This window comes from Homo sapiens, chromosome 10 (genome assembly GCF_000001405.40).
Source record: "Homo sapiens chromosome 10, GRCh38.p14 Primary Assembly".
NCBI lineage: Eukaryota > Metazoa > Chordata > Mammalia > Primates > Hominidae > Homo > Homo sapiens.
This window is the reverse complement of record NC_000010.11, coordinates 44,187,569-44,207,679: the sequence shown is the minus strand read 5'-3', so window position 1 is coordinate 44,207,679 and position 20,111 is coordinate 44,187,569. Positions and strand designations below refer to the sequence as shown.

At 45.2% G+C, this 20,111-nt stretch overlaps 5 annotated features.

Moving 5' to 3' along the window:
• Positions 8,845 to 8,954: an enhancer, noted in NCBI's record as "active region_3307". NCBI's record gives its function as "activates an Ori minimal core promoter by ATAC-STARR-seq in GM12878 lymphoblastoid cells {active_cell/tissue: GM12878}" and the evidence as "EXISTENCE:reporter gene assay evidence [ECO:0000049][PMID:35858748]".
• Positions 11,324 to 11,493: an enhancer, noted in NCBI's record as "experimental_12920 CRE fragment used in MPRA reporter constructs". NCBI's record gives its function as "activates a minimal promoter by MPRAs in K562 erythroleukemia cells, with activity observed for the non-introgressed 10:44691720 or rs4948858 variant allele {active_cell/tissue: K562}" and the evidence as "EXISTENCE:reporter gene assay evidence [ECO:0000049][PMID:34662402]".
• Position 11,408: a transcriptional cis regulatory region, noted in NCBI's record as "Neanderthal adaptively introgressed variant 10:44691720 (GRCh37/hg19 assembly coordinates) or rs4948858 in the experimental_12920 CRE". NCBI's record gives its function as "modulates activity of the experimental_12920 enhancer by MPRAs in K562 erythroleukemia cells {active_cell/tissue: K562}" and the evidence as "EXISTENCE:reporter gene assay evidence [ECO:0000049][PMID:34662402]".
• Positions 13,174 to 13,673: an enhancer, noted in NCBI's record as "H3K4me1 hESC enhancer chr10:44689455-44689954 (GRCh37/hg19 assembly coordinates)". NCBI's record gives its function as "activates a minimal SCP1, AML or CMV promoter by ChIP-STARR-seq in naive H9 embryonic stem cells {active_cell/tissue: H9 hESC(naive)}" and the evidence as "EXISTENCE:reporter gene assay evidence [ECO:0000049][PMID:30033119]".
• Positions 13,674 to 14,175: an enhancer, noted in NCBI's record as "H3K4me1 hESC enhancer chr10:44688953-44689454 (GRCh37/hg19 assembly coordinates)". NCBI's record gives its function as "activates a minimal SCP1, AML or CMV promoter by ChIP-STARR-seq in naive H9 embryonic stem cells {active_cell/tissue: H9 hESC(naive)}" and the evidence as "EXISTENCE:reporter gene assay evidence [ECO:0000049][PMID:30033119]".

Here is a 20,111-nt window from a genome sequence, read left to right as displayed (position 1 = left end):
TCTGGAGCCTGACCCCCAGGGTTCAAATCCCAGCCCCACCACTATTCGCCCACTGCAGGGTCTAGAAGGTGGGATTACCAGTCTCTATAAATACACTTCATATGTGCCCATGCACAATGCTAGCATATTATTTTATCAGTATATATGAATTCATTTAAATCTCCTGACACACATATGATGAAAACAAAAGCATAGAAGCATAGGGATGTCAAGGAGCCAGCTGCAGTGTAGGTGTTGGCACCTTAGCAGTCGAAGCCCTGCAGAGCCGGCGCTAGTGGTTCTGACCAGGCCTGAAGCCCCGCCCTCATCGCCATGATCCGGACTCAGAACCTGCCTGTGCCCTGCGCTGGGCTGAACAGGGCCCTGGTCACTGTTCACGTTGACCCCCAGCACCAGGTGCAGGGCCTGCCCCCCACCGAGGATCCACTACACATATTTTATGAATTAACCAAATGAGGGAAAAACAATGTGAAGGTCAAAAGCTGAACCTATTTATCCTTTCCAGACCCAACTGGCTGTTTTTCCCAAGGGAGACAGCAGGTGCAGGAGAATCTCCCCCAGCTGTGATCCGCCTTGCAGTTTGTTTTCGTCCTTGAGGAATTGCTGTCCTCTGGCCCAGGCCTGGGCAGACTGCGGGACTTTGGGCAAATGGTGGAAGCCTCTGAGTCTCAGCTTCAAACCTGTTACGTAGCCTTCTTAGTGGAGCTTGAAGCTGGGGCAGGGACGAATTCTAACTTCAGGGCGCCATCTGCACACACACGAGTTTTTCCAATATCGGCATCAGATTCCTTCTGGCCTGGGGCACTTTGTGCCCGTACACGTTTCTCCCTGCCCTCTCTTAAAGTTCCTAGGACTTTAGACCTAGGAACTGAGCTGCGGACTGGACAGGAACTCAGCAAATTTGCCAAGGCCCATTGGGGTTTCTCTGAAACACCAGCCTCCAGCAAGAGCAAAGCCCACCCCCTGTCTCCTCAGCTCCGTGGGCAGCCCCGCCGGGCTTGGGGAGCCTTGCCGGCAAAGTGGCGGAGTCCGGGCTCTGAGTGGGGGCTTCGGGGCCCTCTTCTCGCTGTTATCTCCCATGGGTTGGTTTGGGGTTGCGGCCTCACGCTTACTGCCGACCCTACGCCCAGGGCACCTCCACTGCAAGCAATCAGCAGGGACGCGTGGTTCTGCTCCAGCTGCAGATTCCTTGGGCTCATCTTCCTGCGCGGCGGCGTCTAGACTCCAGCAGGGTCGGCCATCGTCTCTCACTGTGCCATCTGGAAAGCAGGACAGCTCATTCTGCAAGCACTTACTGAAGGGTGTGAGGACAAAAAGACAGGCTTTGTGACCACAGTAACCCAGGATCCTCCACTTACTAACTGTGGCTTTGGACGAATTTTTCCACTCCTTTAAGTCATGGTTCTCTTCATTTCCAAGATGTTAAGCACAACGCGTGTAGGACTTCCTGGGAGAGAGCCAGGCACATCCATAAGAGCTGATAAGTAGTTGCTGCTATTTTGCCTGCAGAGAAATAAATAAATGGACAACAGCCTGGATTAACAAGGTGTCGGGAACCCCTTTGTCTAATCTTCACGCTTTATTTTGTTCCTCACACAGACACTGAGTCCTATAAGCTTTACACATTCCGACCAAAATATAATTTTATTAAAAAAAATCAAATTATGTGCTTCTTTTATCTCAGCATTATAGAGCAAATTTAAGCTTTCCTATTAAATACCTTTTAATATTTAAAAATCTTTGAAGTGTAAGCATTGTTTAGTCTCTTTAAGGACGGGGAAACTGAGGCACAGAGAAGTAAATATGTACATACTGGACAAGCAGAGAAGCAGCCAGGGGTGGTGAACTCCTTGTGTGGGGAGAAATAATTTGGATTTAAGTTACAAAAAACACAATGTATTGACTCATGTTTTGGACAAGCCTGGGGTTAAGGCTGCAGTCATTTTGTCTGTTTTCTTCTTATTGTGGATATTGATTTTTTTTTTTTAATAGAGAGCTCCAACTCATTAACCTAAATCTCTTTGTTGCTCAATTGATTCAGGAACAACTGGGCAAGCCTACAGAAGCCATTTCGTACACTTCCATTTCAAGGGAATGAAGAGGGAAATGTAATAACTTGGAATAAGGATGATGGCTCAGGGTAGTAGGGAGGGCAGGTTTTGAGCTCTGTATGGTGGACCCTCACTAGCCTGGCCTGAGCTATGTGAACTATTCAGTTATAGAGAGAGGGATTCAAAGAACAACCAGGAGAGCTGCTTCACTAAAAACCGTATGAGAACTGGAGACTGAGGGAAAGCCTTCCTTGGGATCCAGCATAATAGCATTGCAGGAGTGTGGTCAGAAGTTCTTTTGCCAGATGGGACGCTTGTTGGGCGTATTGGAGTGTCAGGGGGAGTGTCAGAGATTTGGCAATGGGACACAGAAAGGATTACTTACCACCCCCTGCCTTTGAGCTGTTTTACAACTCTGTAAATTGTGGGAAACTGATAATAATGCAAATGCTTCTTGCCTATAGAAACCCACAACAATTGTGTTCAGTGGAATGCAATTAATTGTTTCCCTGTGGATATGTCCTTTGCATCTAAGTTAATTGCAACATCTCTTCTCTGCCTATGCCTGTGTGATACTTTGATTCTCCTTTGAATCAATTGAAAGAAACATCTTAGTCATTATTAATAAGTAAGATACAATTATTAACAAGTGTTCTTTTTATATCTCTACAACAGACATGATTACGTGCTCTTTAAAAAAATAATATTTTAACAGTTTCGGATGTCATAGAGTGCAATGCCCAATGGACTCATCAAACAGAGAAGGGTAAAATCTGTTGCCAGAAAAGCAAGTGTGCCTCGCAGGTGGCTGCAGCCCAGACATCTCTTTTCTGGCTCACAGAGGTAAATCCCAAATGGCGAAAGAACTGTAATTTTGCTCAATATCTTCTCTAGTTTTTTTTTTTCTCCCTCTCTACTAATTTGGAGTTTTTGTTTTTTGTGTTTTTGTTGTTGTTCATTTACTCCAAACAAGTGATTCCACATTGGTGGCAGCAACGACTGGTACTTTGCCTGACTATTTTGGTGATTTCTCTAAAGTGGATTATAGAAATCTATTCTGTGTTGATAGAGAATTTGGATTAGAAATCCTTCATCTGTGTGTCATTATGTCTTTTTTGAGTTCAATTCCATTAAGAAATGCATGGTAACCAGGCAGAGTACAATTCCTTGAGATATAGTGGAAATCAAATATATTTCTACTAAATAGAGTTAATTAATTTGAAACCATCTGTATTCTTTTTTTTTTTTTTTTTTTTTTTTTGAGATGGAGTTTTGTTCTTGTTGCCCAGACTGGAGTGCAATGGCATGATCTTCGGCTCACTGCAACCTCTACCTCCTGGGTTCAAGCAATTCTCCTGCCTCAGACTGCCAAGTAGCTGGGATTACAGGCATGCGCCACCATACCCAGCTGATTTTGTATTTTTAGTAGAAACAGGATTTCTCCATGTTGGTCAAGCTGGTCTCAAACTCCTGACCTCAGGTGATCCACCAGCCTCAGCCTCCCAAAGTGTTGGGATCACAGTCATGAGCCACCGTACCCAGCCACCATCTCTATTCTTTATTCTCAGCTCCTACCCACTACCCCACCCATGTCATCACTTGTCAGGGGATGAGTATATGACTTAGGCCTGGCAAGAAATACTGCATCCCCCAGTGACTGACTCGGGATGGACATAGACCCATCTAGAGCCCATAAGGAACCATGAATCTATGCAGGACCTAAGAAAGTGGCACAGATCTGCTGCTGAATTGTATCCAAGTATCCTCACTGTGAACTTGCTGACTGGCATGTTCCCATCACATGAAACTTGAGAATGAAGGACACAGAAGAATAGGGCTAAGAGACTGGGGGAAACCTTGAGTTTTGATGACATCATCCAAGCCTCTGCCTAACCCAACTGCCTGACTGCAACCCTAACCCCAGGCTTGTCCAAAACATGAATCAATATGTTGTGTTTTCTGTAACTTAAATACAAATTATTTCTCCTCACACAAGGAGTTTGTCACCCCTGGCTCCTGCTGCTCTGCTTGCCCAGTATGTACATATTTACTTCTCTGTGCCTCAGTTTCCCCATCTGTAAAAGAGATTAAACAATGCTTACAGTTCAAAGATTTTTAAACATTGAAAGGTAATTAATAGGAAAGCTTAAATTTGCTCTATAATGCTGAGATAAAAGAAACATCACATAATTTGATTTTTTAAAATAAAATTATATTTTATTTATGTATATTGGGCTATGAGTCCAATTCACCGGGGTGGGAAGACCTACCCAATACCAGCCATCTATGAAATGGACTCTCACCACACTTAAATCTGTGGGTGACTCTATCTTGGACTTCCCAGCCTTCAGAACTGTGAAATGAACTTCTGTTATTTAGAAGCTACCCAGTTTACAATATTTTGTTATAGCAACACAACAGGAAAACACAGTGGCACTGTGGCCCTCCCAGGCAGGACACTGGCACGTGGTGCAGATCCTCATCCTTCTATTCCAAAGTCCAGGGAGCCTGTGCCACCCTTGGGCAACCCCCCTCGTTTGACCCAGCACCCTCTCAGCAACACCCAGATAACTTTTTCTCCCACGAGGGAGCCTGCCTCAAGGGGTGTAAAACCACTTTTTCAACTTCTATTTGGGGCCAGAAAACTGAAAAACTAATAACAACCACCCCCTCCCCGCCCCAGACCAAAAGCCTTAAACTTTCTAGACAAGAGGAAGGCAAAATTCCCTTTGCATCCTCTGCAGTCTCCTAGAGAGAAGACAGCAATGAGCAGCTTGGTAAATGGTCCTACCCCAGCTGTGAATTACCTAAGGCAAGGTAAGTGGGTAGATCAGGAATCCTTACAAGGGAAGCCACACCTTCCATCAGTGTCCACTCACATCCCTCCCACCTGAGAAGGAGTAATAATCAACCCCTCTCCAGACCTCATTCTTCCCAGAAAAGGCCAGACCCTGACTCTCAGGGGAGAGGTAATGAGAAAGCTGCTAATGTCCCTGAACTAACCCCCCATCTCTCAATGGACATCCAAACCTGTCCCTGTGACCCCACTGTGGCGTGCAGGGTTAATAGAACTTCCTGATGAAAAGGCTCTGCCTTTGTTTTCTGCTTCTGTAACAGAATACCACAGACTGAGTAACTTATAAGCAAGAGAAATTGATGTCACTCATGGTTGTGGAGGCTGGTAAGTCCAAGAGCATGGCACTGGCATCTGATGAGTGTCACCCTGTGGTAGAAGGAAAGTGGGCATGGGAGACAGAGAGAAAATCTGGCCGAACTGCCTTTTTTTTTTTTTTTTTTTTTTTTTTTTTTTTTTTTTTTTACGGGAACCCACTCCTGCACTAAGAAGATTAACCCATAAAGGAGAGCAGAGCCATCATGACCTTGTCACCTCTTACAGGTCCCATCTCTCAGCACTGTTGCATGGAGGATTAAGTTTCCAACACATGAATATTAGTGGCCACATTCAAACCATAGCAGGCTCCAAAGCCAGAGCCTCCTTCCCTACTGATTCTTGTACAGTTCTTGCTATTAAAAGCCTCCCTGGGGTATACTCCAAAGAGCAATAGCCTGCTACATGGAACCTGGATACACAGAGAAATGTGTGGTCCCAGCAGGCCCACCCCAGGTGCTGGTCCAGCCATGGCTTTGGGCTGCTCTGCATTTGATATGGGGTGTAAGACTGTTATTGGGTGTCTCAAGAGGCACCCCTCTTTGTGTGCAGGATCAGCAGCTGCCCTTGAGGCCCAGTTCTGCAGGGGGTAAACGACCATATGGTAAGCTTTGGCTGAGAGCACAGGCCTGCAGAGAGATTTTTAGTCAAGCATGTTCATTTCCCCAGCAGTACTCAACTAAAAAATTCCTTACTCTTGGGCTCTCCTGATTTTCCTTGCAAGCAAGAGTTAGGAAATGATGGGGCAAACCATGCTGGGAGCAGAGCGAGCCTGGGGTGGGGTGGCCACTCATGGACTTTCTGCCTTCTCATTGACACAGGTCTCCTATTAGCCTTTAGCCCTGTATTCATTTCTTTTTTTCCTTTTTTTTTTTTTTTTTTTAAAGACAGAGTCTCGCTCTGTCACCCAGTCTGGAGTGCAGTGGTGCGATCTTGGCTCACTGCAACCTCCACCTCCCAGGTTCAAGTGATTCTCCTGCTGCAGCCTCCCAAGTAGCTGGGATTACAGGCATGCACCACCACCCCTGCCTAATTTTTTTGTACTTTTTGTAGAGACGGGGTTTCTCCATGTTGGTCAGGCTGGTCTCGAACTCCTGACCCCAGGCAATCCGCCCACCTCGGCCTCCCAAAGTGCTGAGATTACAGGCATGAGCTACTGCACCCGGCCAGCCCTGTATTCATTTCTAGGGCTGCCACAACAAAGCACCAGAAACCAGGAGGCCTGAAGAACAGAGATGTATTGCTTCACAGCCCTGGTGGCTGGACGTCCAAGGTCACTGTGTCAGCAGGGTTGTTTCCTCAGAGGCCTCTGCTGGCTTGTGGGTGGCTGTCTTCTCCCTGTGTCTCTTCACATAGCCTTGCCCCTATGTGTGTCTCTGTGTCCAGATTTCCCCTTCTTATGAAGATGAAAGTCATGTGGGATTAGGAACCTCATTTTAACTTGATTACATCTGTCTTTACTTTATCTCCAAATCAGGTCACATTCTGAGCTACTAGGGGGTTAGGATTTCAATATATAAATGTGGAGGGACACAACTTGACCCTTCATAGGCCCCCTGTGTGTAAGTCCTGTCTCATTGCCTCAGAATGTAGGTCTCTGGAGATAAGCAAAATCTGGTGCCCAGGAACAACTTTCTCTGTGACCCAAAACCAACTAGTGCACCCTTTGAAGCCACCACTTCTCAATGGTGTGAAGTCCCTGAGCCTCAGATACAGGAACATGGCATGGGGCTAGGAGTCACACCTGCTGAGGTCTCACCTGGGTCCTTCACCTACTGATGGACTGGGTCCCTCTGAACTTCCACCAGGGAGAATTAAATGTGTGTTATGAGCAGATCTGTCGCAGAATCCGATGAGGAGGGGCAGAGCACAACCTCCCTAGGCGGCAGGACTTCCTTGCTGCATGAACCCACCCCACACTGGCCCCACTAATGACTGCTTTTCTAGACCCAGGAACTAGGATAGGGTGAGGAGATTGGGGTGAGGCCAGGACGGGCCACGCTGCCTGAATATTTCCAGGTCATGGGGACCCACACGCACCTTTGCGTCTTCCTTTGGTGGCTCTGACTCCTTTAATACCTTCTCTGTGGTATTAAAGAGAGGCGCCACCTCAGCCCTTCAGAGGAAGAGAGTGGGAGGCCGTTGGATGCCCCAGATTATGTCAAATTCCATGAGCTGAGTAAAAGGCCAGGGAGAGCCTGGAACCACTCGGCTGGAGGCCAGAACCTCACTGTGGTTCATTTGCTGTGGTGTCCCTAGAGGGGGACCGTCATGGCTCCAAAAAGTGCACGAAGATCATGAGGTGAGACCCAACCCTGATGGGCAAACTGTGCCAAGGACAAGACCTGGCATGTTGTCATCAAGTATGGCTGGAGGGAGGCTCCAGGATCATCTTCCCTAAAGACAGCAATGTCATTAATGGCAACATCCATGCACATGTTGTCCTTGTTCTCAAGGTTAAATCCATGCACAGCTCCACAGGAGGGTTTCCCCTGTGCTCCACATGGACCTGGCCAGGCGTGGAGAGGAGCCTGCCTGGAGGAAGTTGTGTGTGACGAAACAGCCGTCTCATTTCTTCCCACTTGCAGTGACCTCCTTCTTTTGTCTCTATCATTCCACTTTCCCTCACTCTCCAGGTCCCATGTGGCTGCACCATGAACATTTCCACCATTAATGGGTGAGAGGTCTTTCTTTTCTGCCATGAAGAGACCCAGCCAGGTACCACGGAGAAACCCAGAGTGAAAAACTCATGGTCAAGTTCCAAGTTGTTCCCAGACAAATGAACACCCCAGCACAACAGGGCCTCTTCCTAGGCCTTGCCCCACCTGCAGAGCAATGGCCCATCCCAAATACCATCTCCTCCCTCAGTAGCACCCAGCTCTGTGTCCACCCGACACTGGCTATGTTTCCTAAGTACAAAAAAAACACACTGTTTTCAGGAAAAGGGTCCTGTCCCTGAGCTCATTTGGCACTGGGCTGTCATGGTTGGAGGATTGTGCAATCAGACCCCGGGTTCGGGGGACATTTTCATGTCACTGGTTTGAATCCCATTTCCATCCAGTGGCTGGAGTGTATTCTCAGTGCTACTATATGGAGAGACATAAGGATTTCTCACCCAAGACTGAATGTAGATTTCTCTTCTGAATATGAGAAGTCACTCAGCTCTGCTAAGATTTTCCTCTGCCCTTCCTGTCCTCTGGCATTGTACCTTTGGGAGAAACAAGAAGGCAGAAAGGAGACTGCTTTGCCCCCTCAACTCTCCTGGGTCTACAGTGCCACTAGAAGCTAGCCAAGTCACCACCCAACTCTCCTCATGCCTGTATCACTCACTGAGGACTGTGTGTATGCTCACTGGGGTGAAATAGAAGGGAAGGGAGGTCACTGATGGACACTTTCTTTGGAGCAGGGGTGGACAAGTCCCAGGACAGCTGCCCTGAGAGCCACCCACCTACATACCCACGGAGCAAGAAGGCCCACAGGCTGCTCTAGAGGTCATGCTTGAAGAGGCAGGGCACGGGCAGATGTTGTTCATTGTCATTACTAGTAAGCACAGAGGCAGGGAACAGGCCCATGACCTCAGCCTCCCCAGCGGCAGCTGTTCCTCACCAAGAGATCCAGGGCCAGAGACTGCTCACTCACTTCCAAATTCAGAACGCAGCTACCCTCAAACTTCCAGATTCTACATTTTGTGATACGGAGGCTACCCGTCTCTTTCATTTCTGGCAGGATGAGTTGGAGAATTTCTGGTCCTGTTAGGCCTGTGTGACCCAGCCCTCCCCACTCTGCCCACACACAGCTGTGCAAGGTTTCAGACAGTGAGGAGCAGAGGGAAGAACAGACTGAACCCAGCCCTAGGGTTGAGTCTTCATCTCTTACTTTGACAAGCTTCTGAGTATTTTTGTTGTACTTTTCCTATCATTTTTTTTGCCCAATGCAAGAGTTAGAACAAACTTAGATATTACAAAAACAGGTCGTCTTAGTAGGTGGAAAGCAGGAACCCTGGCTGGTGGTGGCTGTGTGAAGATAACCTCAGCCACCTTCCATGAACCCAGGCACCCTCTTGAAGCCTCAGCAGGCACTCAGTGCAATCTGAGGCCAGGCCCTTCCTCCAGAGCCCAAGCTCCTGGCCTGCCCTGAGAATGAACCACATATGGAATGGACAGACAAGATGCCTTTCTCTTAGGTTTTCTTACCAAAATAAACAAATGCATTTGGGAAGATTAAATCCCCTTAATCATGAGAGTGAGAGACCATTCTCTGCAGAGAAACTCCCTAGTCCGAGGGCTAAGGGAGTTTCTGTGACAGGATGAAAACATTTATTTGAGTGAAATTTTCTTCATAGGTGAGAATGGAGGAGGACTTTTGTTGAGACACACATCCCAGAAGACAGCACCTGGGCCAGCAATGACACCCTGCCTCCCCTAGCCCCATTGCTGCATCCTGGAGGGTCCTGAAAGGTCCCAGCCTCCCAGGGGCAGGAAGGGAAGGCACCTTGGCCACAGTTGTTGGAGCTGAGACCACATGATTTTCCTGGTGTGTCTGTCTCCAACTCTTACCTACCACTTCCTGCCTAGAAAGTTCCAGACTTGGAACCTGCGTGAATGTGGCCCTTGTCTTTTGCTTTGCCCAGGGGTGGGTTGACATGATTTTACATGTGGGAGACCCAGAAGTCACATGATAGATGTCAAGAGTCAGGAGGAAGAAGACCCTGGGAAGGGAGAGAGGGAGGCAACAGCTATGTGCACATCACAAGGCTTGGCAAGATGAGGGGCATCCTCCAGTCGGATGGCCGTAGTTCTCTGCTTTCCTTGCATTTGGAAAAAAGAGTCCAGTAAGCTTGCACCTTAAGAAAAGGCAATAGTGTCGATGCACTTGGACAGAAGATTGGTATCCTATTGCGGAGGCTGTGAATGCCCAGAAGACTAAGCCCGTCACCGAGGTCTCCTCAAAAGCACTTCTGAGCAAGCTGCATTGGTGCCTCCCTCTCCCTCCGCCTTCCGACTTCCAAATTCTATCACCTCATGTTTAATTTCACGTTGTCAAGGTTAACATTCTTCTTTTCGTTTGTATAGTTTATTAAACACTTGTATCCTGCCATCTCTGTGCCTGGTGCTATTCTAAGCACTTTAGAAAAACTAGCCCATGGCCAGGTGTGGTGGCTCATGCCTGTAATGCCACCACTTTGGGAGGCTGAGGTGGGAGGATTACTTGAGCCTCAAGAACAGCCTGGGCAATGTAGTAAAATGCTGTCTCTACACAAATAATAAAGAAAAATTAGCCAGGCATGGTGGCATGTGCCTGTTGTACCAGCCACTTGGGAGGCTAAGGTAGGAGGATTGCTGGGCGGTCAAGGCTACAGTGAGCTGATATCGCACCATTGCACTTCAGCCTGGGCAACAGAGCAAGACCCTGTCTGAAAAGAAAGGAAAACAAAACAAAACAAAACAAAACAAAACAAAAGACGTATTAGCTCATATATAGAATCTAACAAAGTTGATCTCATGGAGGCAGAGAGTAGAATGATGGTTATCAGGGGGTTGGGGAGTGGTACTGGGGGATTGGGGAGATGTTGATCAAAGGATAGAAAATGTCAGTTAGATAAAGGAATAAGTGGATGTATAGTGTTCCTACCACAAATATCATATCTAGGTGGGGTGATGCACATGTTAATTAGCTAGATTTAGTCATTCCACAATGTATGTACACTTCAAAACATCATGTTGTACTCAATAAATATATATATAATATTAGCTATCAATTTAAATAAACATTTTAATAACTTAAAAAACAAAATATCAATTCAATCACTTCTCTGACAAGAGTCCTTGCTGGAGTTGCTGTTCCTGCCCTCGTGCTCTGATGAGGAAACCTGAGGGCGCAGAGGCTGAGGCCTTGCTGAAGGTTGCATGCCTGCTGGCTCCGGTGACAGCTCACGCTCTTGTGACCTGCAGGCCAGCTCTCCTCTCCTCCTCTCTGCCTTCAGCCCCGCTCACCTGCTCTCCCTGCACTCCCTCCAGGGACTCTTCTCATCCCCAGATCTCCACTAGTTCCTTTCTTTCATCACATTGATGTCTATCTTGTGCCAGGCCTTGTGTACAAGCTGGGACCCACCACAAGCTTTTCAGACTTGGCTGGCGCCCGGTGGGCTCCCAGTGCAGAGGGAAGCATGTGAGTAACCAGGTGTCACTGCCCCTGAGGTCTACTCAGCACCTCACAGCCCATGGATACCTTGCAGAATTAGTACAAGCTGTTCCTTTCTCCAAGCACATAGCAAATCCCATCACAATGTGTACCTGTGACAACCCCAAATGTGAACTGCATTCTGTGTGAAGCCTCCACAGCTGCAGGTGGAGACCTACAGAAGGGGCATATGGGTTGGGGGCCTGTCCAAGCCTGGGGAAGGGTCAGCCACGCTTCTCACTGGAGAGCACCTCTGCAAAGTGCCAGCTTAGCCGTTCCTTTGTGATAACAATAGTGGAGCGTTCTATGCCCTTGTCCACACCTGGGTGTTTACAGAGGAAAATCACTAAAGAGCATTTGTGACTATGACCACATAAATACTGTTCGTGACAGAATCCACACTCAGTCCTTGGGCCACTGTAAGGAGCATGACTCTAGAGCTGGACTTGAACTTGGACACCAGAGTTCTATCTGCTCCAAAACCATTAAGTTATTCTGCCTTCCAGTTTGCCAGGATGGGCTGGCAAGTTGTTTCAAAAGTAAACACAGCAGAGTCTTTTATTTTTTTAAGCAATGTTAGATGTTTCCTGTTCCAAAGTGCACACCGCAGCCCCTGGGCTCCATGCCTGATTTTCTCCAGGGCAGACATCTGGAGGATGACTCAGAGACCCACAAAAAGAGATGTCTGCAGGCTGGGCCCTGCAACCCTGGGCACCCCAGTGGGATACCCCAGAAGTGAGCAGTTATTATCTCTTGTGTTGACAGTGGCATGTGCTGGAGCCATCCCTAAAGACTAGAGGGAAGGAAGGAGAGGCCCCCGGCCCCTCCTGAGAGGCCACTTAACTTCCCCAGCCACTGTGGGTCAAATGGCTTTTCTTGTTATCTGGAGGCCTGGACACTCACACTAGTGCCCTTATCCTCTTCCCTCCACTCGCTCTCTTTGTTCTAAGCCTTTCAATGCTGGGTCCCCTGCTTTGTGGACCATATAGGGATCTGGGCATTTTCACCTCCCACCTCCTCTGGTTCGCTCCTCTATCTCTCTCTGCGAGAGAGGGAAAAGAAAGCAGAGTGAGGACTCAGGCACCACACAGATAAGCCTGTCTGACACGCCTGGCTCATTTTCTGACAGAACAGCAAAAGGATGGAATGGCTTCAGCTCTGGGTTCACCTTGCCTGACTCTTCTTCCAGAAAATTGAAAGCAGCAGAGGACCCACAAGATTACTGTCATGAGCCCCCAACAGTCCTATTACAGAGGGAAAGAGCAACTGAGGCCAGGTTGGAGAAAGGACCGCTTCCCAGTGTGGGCTGAACTTGTCCCACAAAATCCATGTGTTGAAATCTTGATCCCCATTTCACAGAATGAGACTGCATTTGGAGGGAAGACCTTTAAAGAGGTGATTAAGGTAAGATGGAGTTGTTGCGGGGGCCTAATCCCATATGACTGGAGTCCTTATAAGAAGAGGATATTAGGACACAGGCACACACAGACCACGTGAAGATACAGGGAGAAGGCAGCATCTGCAAGGCAAGGAGAGAGGCCTTAGGAGAAACCAACCTTGCAACACCTTGATCTTGGGCTTCCAGCCTCCAGCATGGTGAAAAAATACATTTCTGTTGCTTAAGCCACACAGCTGGTGGCTTCTTGTTATGGCAGCCCTAGCAGACTAATACACCCCTAAATTACACAAGAGGAGGTGGCAGTGGAGAAGTCCCTGGGGCTGACCCCAGCTTTCTGCTCTGTCCCACTGCCACTGTTTCATTGTCACTGGAAGCATTTCTCTTCTCTTTTAGGGAAGCATGCAGCACATGTATACACACATGCACACACACACACACGTGCATCCTGAAGGATAAGTATGTAGTTATTCAGGTGGAGAAAAAGAATAAGAAATTATGTAAAGGAAAGGAAACAGCTCCAGCAACATGTGGGGGAGCTGCAGCCCTGTGGGTGGGCTCAGGAGAAGCCCCCCAGCTCTAGGCAACCTTAGGAAAAGCTGGAGAGGGTCAGGAGACCAGGTGAGAGGCAGGCAGGGTGGGACCCAGGCACATCCAGGTTCCAAGGGAGGATCTGAGACTTCATCCTGCAAACAATAGGTTCCATAAGGGATTTTAGATGGAATGACGTGGTCAGCTTCAGTCTCAGGCTGAAGAGGAGACCTGGACGTTGGATGGAGCCTGGAAGCAGACTGCCCAGTAGCCCCTTCAATGACGGCCTGGGTAGCAGAGCAGCAATAGTGAGCTGAGGGCCTGTGAGGCATCCTGCCCTCCCTGCCTCCTTGTGGCCCCCCAGAGCAAGTGGGACAGTCCCAGGGAGGGCAGGTGGCTCTGCAGCCGCACAGCAGGGGACCGTGCAGCCCCTAGGGGAAGGAGGTGGCACCCAGCCCTGTGGATTATTTTCTATCAGAGCTCAAAGAGGAAAGCAGTCTGCAAAGTTGAAGAGTAGTTGAGATCTCATGTGTTTGAAAGCAATCCCTGTACAAAACACCAAGAGACTTTATAGAAACATTAGGAGGCAGCAGCTTCCCTGTTGGTAAGAGTTCACTCTCAAATAAAATCCACATGTTATTTATGTTCTTTGACCCAGCTGTTAGCTCCCTATAGATATTGAGATATAAGAATAATCTGGTAGTAATATTATTCCATTTGGAGTGGATTCTTTGTTCTTAAGCTAAAAGGTGATTAAGGGAAAGATCCACCAGGAGGTATTAAGGGGCTTGAGTAGCTTGGATGAAGATGGGTGAGGTAGCACATAGAAGCCATCCACACAAGATTGCAGAAACAGTAGAGCTGCATGTCTAGCAAGTCTTTATTGCTTTTCAATAACATGATAACATTCCTATAAAAGTAATTTATAGATGGACTCAAGGCAAAGCTGGGAAGCTGAGCCTGTGGGTTTTAGAGAAGAACCCACAAGCTCCAACCGGGAATTGTATTGGGTTTGTTTTTCACGGTTGAGGCCGCTGCTCTTTGCTCTCAGATTTCAAACTGAGATGCACTGGCTGCATGCTAATGCAGGAGCAGCAGCCCAGCTATGAGCTCCATGAGTCAGGAAGGAACCTAGAGAATTTTCACATTCCCAGGTTCAAAACTGTGCAGAGGCAGGTGATTGCCAGGAACTTTGTGTTTGGTGAAGTGATGCCCTTAAGGGAGGAGGCTGGGACCCAATGCACATGGGCCTCAGGGACCCAGCAACTGGGAGCAGCCAGGCCCCGCAGGTTGGCATTTGCCTTTACTTGTGGGCATGCGTAGACGTGGGAGTGGTTTCACAAATGGCATGAAGTGAAACAGGCAAATCTCACCTATTTTCTGACAGCAGCACTGTGATTCTTAATATTGGATAGGAAACTAGAGTTTGTGGCTGATGTAAAGGAGTAAATCTAGTCTGAGAATAGGAAATAAAAAGCCTGGTTATTTGGTAACATGTACCTTAGACCTCCAGACCTTGGCAGGCTCAGGCGTGTTGAGGGGAGCACCCAGGCCTGAGAACTGTGTGTGCAAAGGTCCTGGACAGAAAAGAGTTTGGTTGGCTTTAGGTGAAGAGAGAAGACCGCTGTGGCTGAAGCCCATTGAGTGAGAGTGTCCAGACAGAAGATGGAGCCTCAGCCTTCAAGGCATTGTGGGCCATGCTAACAGCTGACGGAAAGTTATCTGCCGTGGTGTGGGCAAAGTACAGAGAGCAGGACCAATGAAATCATTCTCCAGAGGCCCCGGCAGTGCTGAGAAAGCCTCAGGCTTGGGGACAGAGCCACTGGAAAAGAAGACCCTCCCTTCTCTGGACCCAAGCTCCTTCCCACAGGTGGCACATGGCCATGCTGAGACGGACACAGTGGACCTCATTGTGGTGACTGAGTGGAAGAGTTTCTGGAACATTCCCAGGCACCTGCTCACCACCATCCAACCTCTCAGCCACCCGAACCCAAAGAGAATCCTTTCTTCACATTTTCCCATCTTTCTGCCTTTCCTTCCTCTGTTTTTCTCTTCCTGCTGTCCTCTTTCCTCATCTCTCCATCTTTTCTTCCATCCTTCTCCTCTTCATTTTTTTTATTTTTAAATATACTTTACTTTTGAGAGCAGTTTTAGTTCACAGCAAAATTGAGTGAAAGTACAGAGAGTCACCATCCTGACACGTCCACAGTGTACATTAGGACGCAGTGTACATTAGGAGTACGCAGTGTACATTAGGGCTCATCTTGGTGTCGCACAACCCTATGGGTTTGTACAAATTTATCATGACATTTATCCACTGTTAGGATATTGTACAAAGTAGTTTCACCGCCCTAACATTTCTCTGTTCTCTGCCTATTCATTCCTCCCTCCCCACTAATCCCTGGCAACCACTGATCTTTTTACTACCTCCATAATTTTGCCTTTCCAAGAGTGTCATATAGTTGGAATCATACAGTATGTAGCCTTTTCAGATTGGCTTCCTTCACTTAGCAGTATGCCTTTAAGTTTCTCTCATGTCCTTTCATGGTTTGATAGCTCCTTTCTTCTTAAGCACTGAATATTAATCCATTGTCTGGATGTACCACAGTTTATCCATTCAGCTATTGACATCTTGATTGTTTCCAAGTCTTGGCAATTATGAACAAAGCTGCTATAAATATCCATGTGCACGTTCCTGTGGACACTGATTTTCAATTCCTTTGGGCAAATACCAAGGAGTGTGATCGATTGCTGAATCATATGCTAAGAGTATATTTAGTTTGTAAGAAACTGCCAAAGTCTCTTCCAAAGTGGCTGTACCATTCAGCAATGAATGAGAGTTCCTGCCACTCCCCATCCTTGCCAGCATTTGGTGTTGCCAGTGTTTTGGATTTCAGCCATTCTAACAGGTATGTAGTGGTATCTCATTGCTGTTTTAATTCTCTTTATTTTCTAACATCTTTATTGAGGTGTGATTTACATAGCATACACTGACACATTTAAAGTGTACAATTCGATGTTCGACCTACTCATACACTCATGAAGCCATCACCACAGTCAAGACAGAAGACATGTCTCCCCACCAAATGTTTTCTTATACCTATTTGTAACCCATCCCTCTACTCTGCCCCATGCCTGGTCAATTCAACCGATCTTCTTTCTGTCACTAACGATTAGTTTTCATTTCCTGGAGTTTATATGAATGATGTGCCTACACGATGTGCCCTTTTAAGTCTGGCTTCTTTCACTCAGTGTAATTATTTTGAGATTCAGCTGCATTGTTTTATGTATCAATATTTCATTCCTTTTCATTGTAGAGTAGTGTTATTACATGGACATACCACAATTTGTTTATCCTCTGATATGTTGATGAACAGTTAGGTTGTTTTCAGATTTTGGCTATTACAAATAAAAAGCTGTATCAACTTTCATGCATAAGTCTTTGTATAGACATGTATTTTCATTTCTTTTAGGCAAATGCCTAGGAATGAAATAGCTGGATCACTTGGTAAGCATATGTTTAACTTTTTAAGAAACTGAGAACTGTCTTCCAAAGTGATTGTACCATTTCACATCCCTCCTCCCAGACAATGTATGAAAGTTCAGCTTCCCCACATCCTCACCAGCACTTGGTATGGTCACTCTTTTTATATGAACCCTTCTAATAAGTGTGTATGGTATCTCAGTATGGTTTTAATTTGCATTTTCCAAATTACTAATGATGTTGACCATCTTTTCTTCTGTTATTTGCTCTTTGCTGAAGTGTCTGTTTTCCCTATTCTTTTTTTTTAACATAGGGCCTCCATTCTTTTTTTTTTTTGGTTTGCTTTTTAATTTTTTTATTATTTATTTATTTATTATACTTTAAGTTCTAGAGTACATGTGCACAGGTGTGCAGGTTTGTTACATATGTATACATGTGCCATGTTGGTGTTCTGCACCCATTAACTCATCATTGACATTAGGTATATCTCCCAATGCTATCCCTCCACCCTCCCCCAACCCTGCGACAGGCCCCAGTGTGTGATGTTCCCCACCCTGTGTGCAAGTGTTCTCATTGTTCAATTCCCACCTATGAGTGAGAATATCCAGTGTTTGGTTTTTTGTCTCTGTGATAGTTTGCTGAGAATGGTGGTTTCCAGTTTCATCCATGTCCCTACAAAGAACATGAACTCATCCTTTTTTATGGCTGCATAGTATTCCATGGTGTATATGTGCCACATTTTCTTAATCCAGTCTATCACTGATGGACATTTGGGTTGGTTCCAAGTCTTTGCTATTGTGAATAGTGCCACAATAAACATATGTGTGCATGTGTCTTTATCGTAGCATGATTTATAATCCTTTAGGTATATACCCAGTAATGGGATGGCTGGGTCTAATGGTATTTCTAGTTCTAGATCCTTGAGGAATCGCCACACTGTCTTCCACAATGGTTGAACCAGTTTACAGTCTCACCAACAGTGTAAAAGTGTTCCTATTTCTCCACGTCCTCTCCAGCACCTGTTGTTTCCTGACTTTTTAATGATTGCCATTCTAACTGGTGTGAGATGGTATCTCATTGTGGTTTTGATTTGCATTTCTTTGATAAGGGCCTCAATTCTTTTACTGGGTTGTTTGTCTTCTTATTAACTTCTGAGGGTCCTTTATATACCGAATACAAGATATGTATTAGATAGTTGATCAACAAGTATTTTCACCTGGTAATGACTTGTCTTTTCATTCTTTTCTCAGTGTTTTTCAAAAATCAGAGTTTTTAATATTGTCAAATTTAATAAAGTCAAATTTATCTAATTTATCTCTTTTTTTGAGACAAGTTCTCACTCTGTCACCCAGGCTGGAGTTCAGTGGTGCGATCACAGCTCACTGCAGCCTCAACCTCCCATGCTCAAGTGATCCTCCCATCTCAGCCCTCTGAGTAGCTGGGAACAGAGGCACACGCCACCATGCCTTGTTAATTGATTTATTATTTGTAGATATGGGGGTCTCTCTATGTTACCCAGGCTGGTCTCCAACTCCTGGGCTCAAGCAGCCCTCCTGCCTTAGCCTCTCAAAGTGCTAGGATTACAGGTGTGAGCCACCATGCCCAGTCAGATTCATCTTTTTTTTTTTTAATGGACTTTACTTTTGATGTCATAGCAAAGAAATCTTTGTTTAACACAACATTAAAAAGATTTACTTCTGTTTACTTCTGGAATTTTTAAATTTGGGGGTTTTGCATGTAGACCTGTGAGCTATTTTGAAGTCATTTTTGTATACGTATCAAAGTTCATTATTTTTGCATATAGTGATCCACTTGTTCCAACACCATTTGTTTAAAAGACTATGCTTTCTCCAACGAATTGACTTTGCACTTTTTTCAAAAGTTGGTTGTACCATTTATGTGTCAGTCTATTTCTGGACTCTCTTCTGTTACTCCGATGTATTTTTTTAATCTTATGCCAATACCACACTGTTTTGATTACTCTAGCTTTCTGATAAATCTTAAAACTAGTTTGTATCAACCTTGTAACTTTGCTCTTGTTTTTCAGTGGTCCTTTGGTGATTCTAGATCCTCTGTATTACCACATGAATTTTTAGAACCAGCTTGTACATTTCTACCCAAAAACTCCTTCTGGAATTTGGATTGGGATTTCACTGAAACTATAGAAAAAGTGATATCATGATAATATAGACCCTTCTAATCTATAAACAAGTTTTACCTTTCCAATTATTTAGTTCTTTTTACATTTTACTGAGTAATATTTTCTAATTTTCAGTGTATAGGTTTTTTGTATCTTTTCTGATATTTATCACCAAGTATTTAATATTTTTGATGCCATTTTAAACAGTACTGTTTTAAATTTTTTGAATATTTTGTTGTTCATTGTTAATATATAGAAATACAATTGGCTTTTGTGTGTTAGCTTGTATCATACAAACGTGCTTATTTACTAGTTCTAGTAGCTTTTCGTAGATTACATCAAAGTTTAGTCATCTGTAAAGAAAAAACTGTTTTGCCTCTTCTTTTCCAAGATGGATGCATAGGCTAGAAACTTCAATGAATGTTGAATAGCAGTTATGAGACTAGGTATCTTATCTTGTCCTAATAGCAGGAAGAAAGCATTCCATTTTTCACTAATCAGTACTATACTAGCTATATAGTATTTCACTATCAGTACTATACTAAGCTACTATACTAGTTTTTTGCAGATATTCTTTATGAGGTTGAGAAATTCCTTTCTGTTACAGTCTGCTGAGAGTTTATCAGGAATGGCAGGAATGGATGTTAGCTTTTGTTCAAAAAAATACACATATTTAAATGATCATATGGTTTTTCTTTTCTAGTTTATTCATACAGTAAATTCGACTGATAGATTTTCAAATGTTAAATCAACTCTGTATTTCTGGGATAGATCTAATTTGGCCATAATGTATATCGTTTTTGTTTATCATTGAATTTGATTTGCTAAAATTTTGTTTAGAATCTCTGCATCTTGTTTCATGGAAGATATTCACCTTTAGTTTTCTTTTCTGGTCGTGTCTTTAACTAGGTTTGTATCAGGGTAATGCTGGCTTCAAAGAATGAGTTAGGAGAAATTCCATTCTCTTCAATTTTCTAGAAGTATTTGTATAGAATGAGTATCATTTCTTCTTTGGTGGAACTCACCAGGGAAGCTCTATGGAACTGGAGTTGTGTTTTTTTTTTTGTTGTTTGTTTGTTTTTGTGGGAAGGTTTTTTGTAATCATAAATTCAATGTATTCATTAGATCCCAGGTTCTTTGGATCACCCACCTGTTTCTGA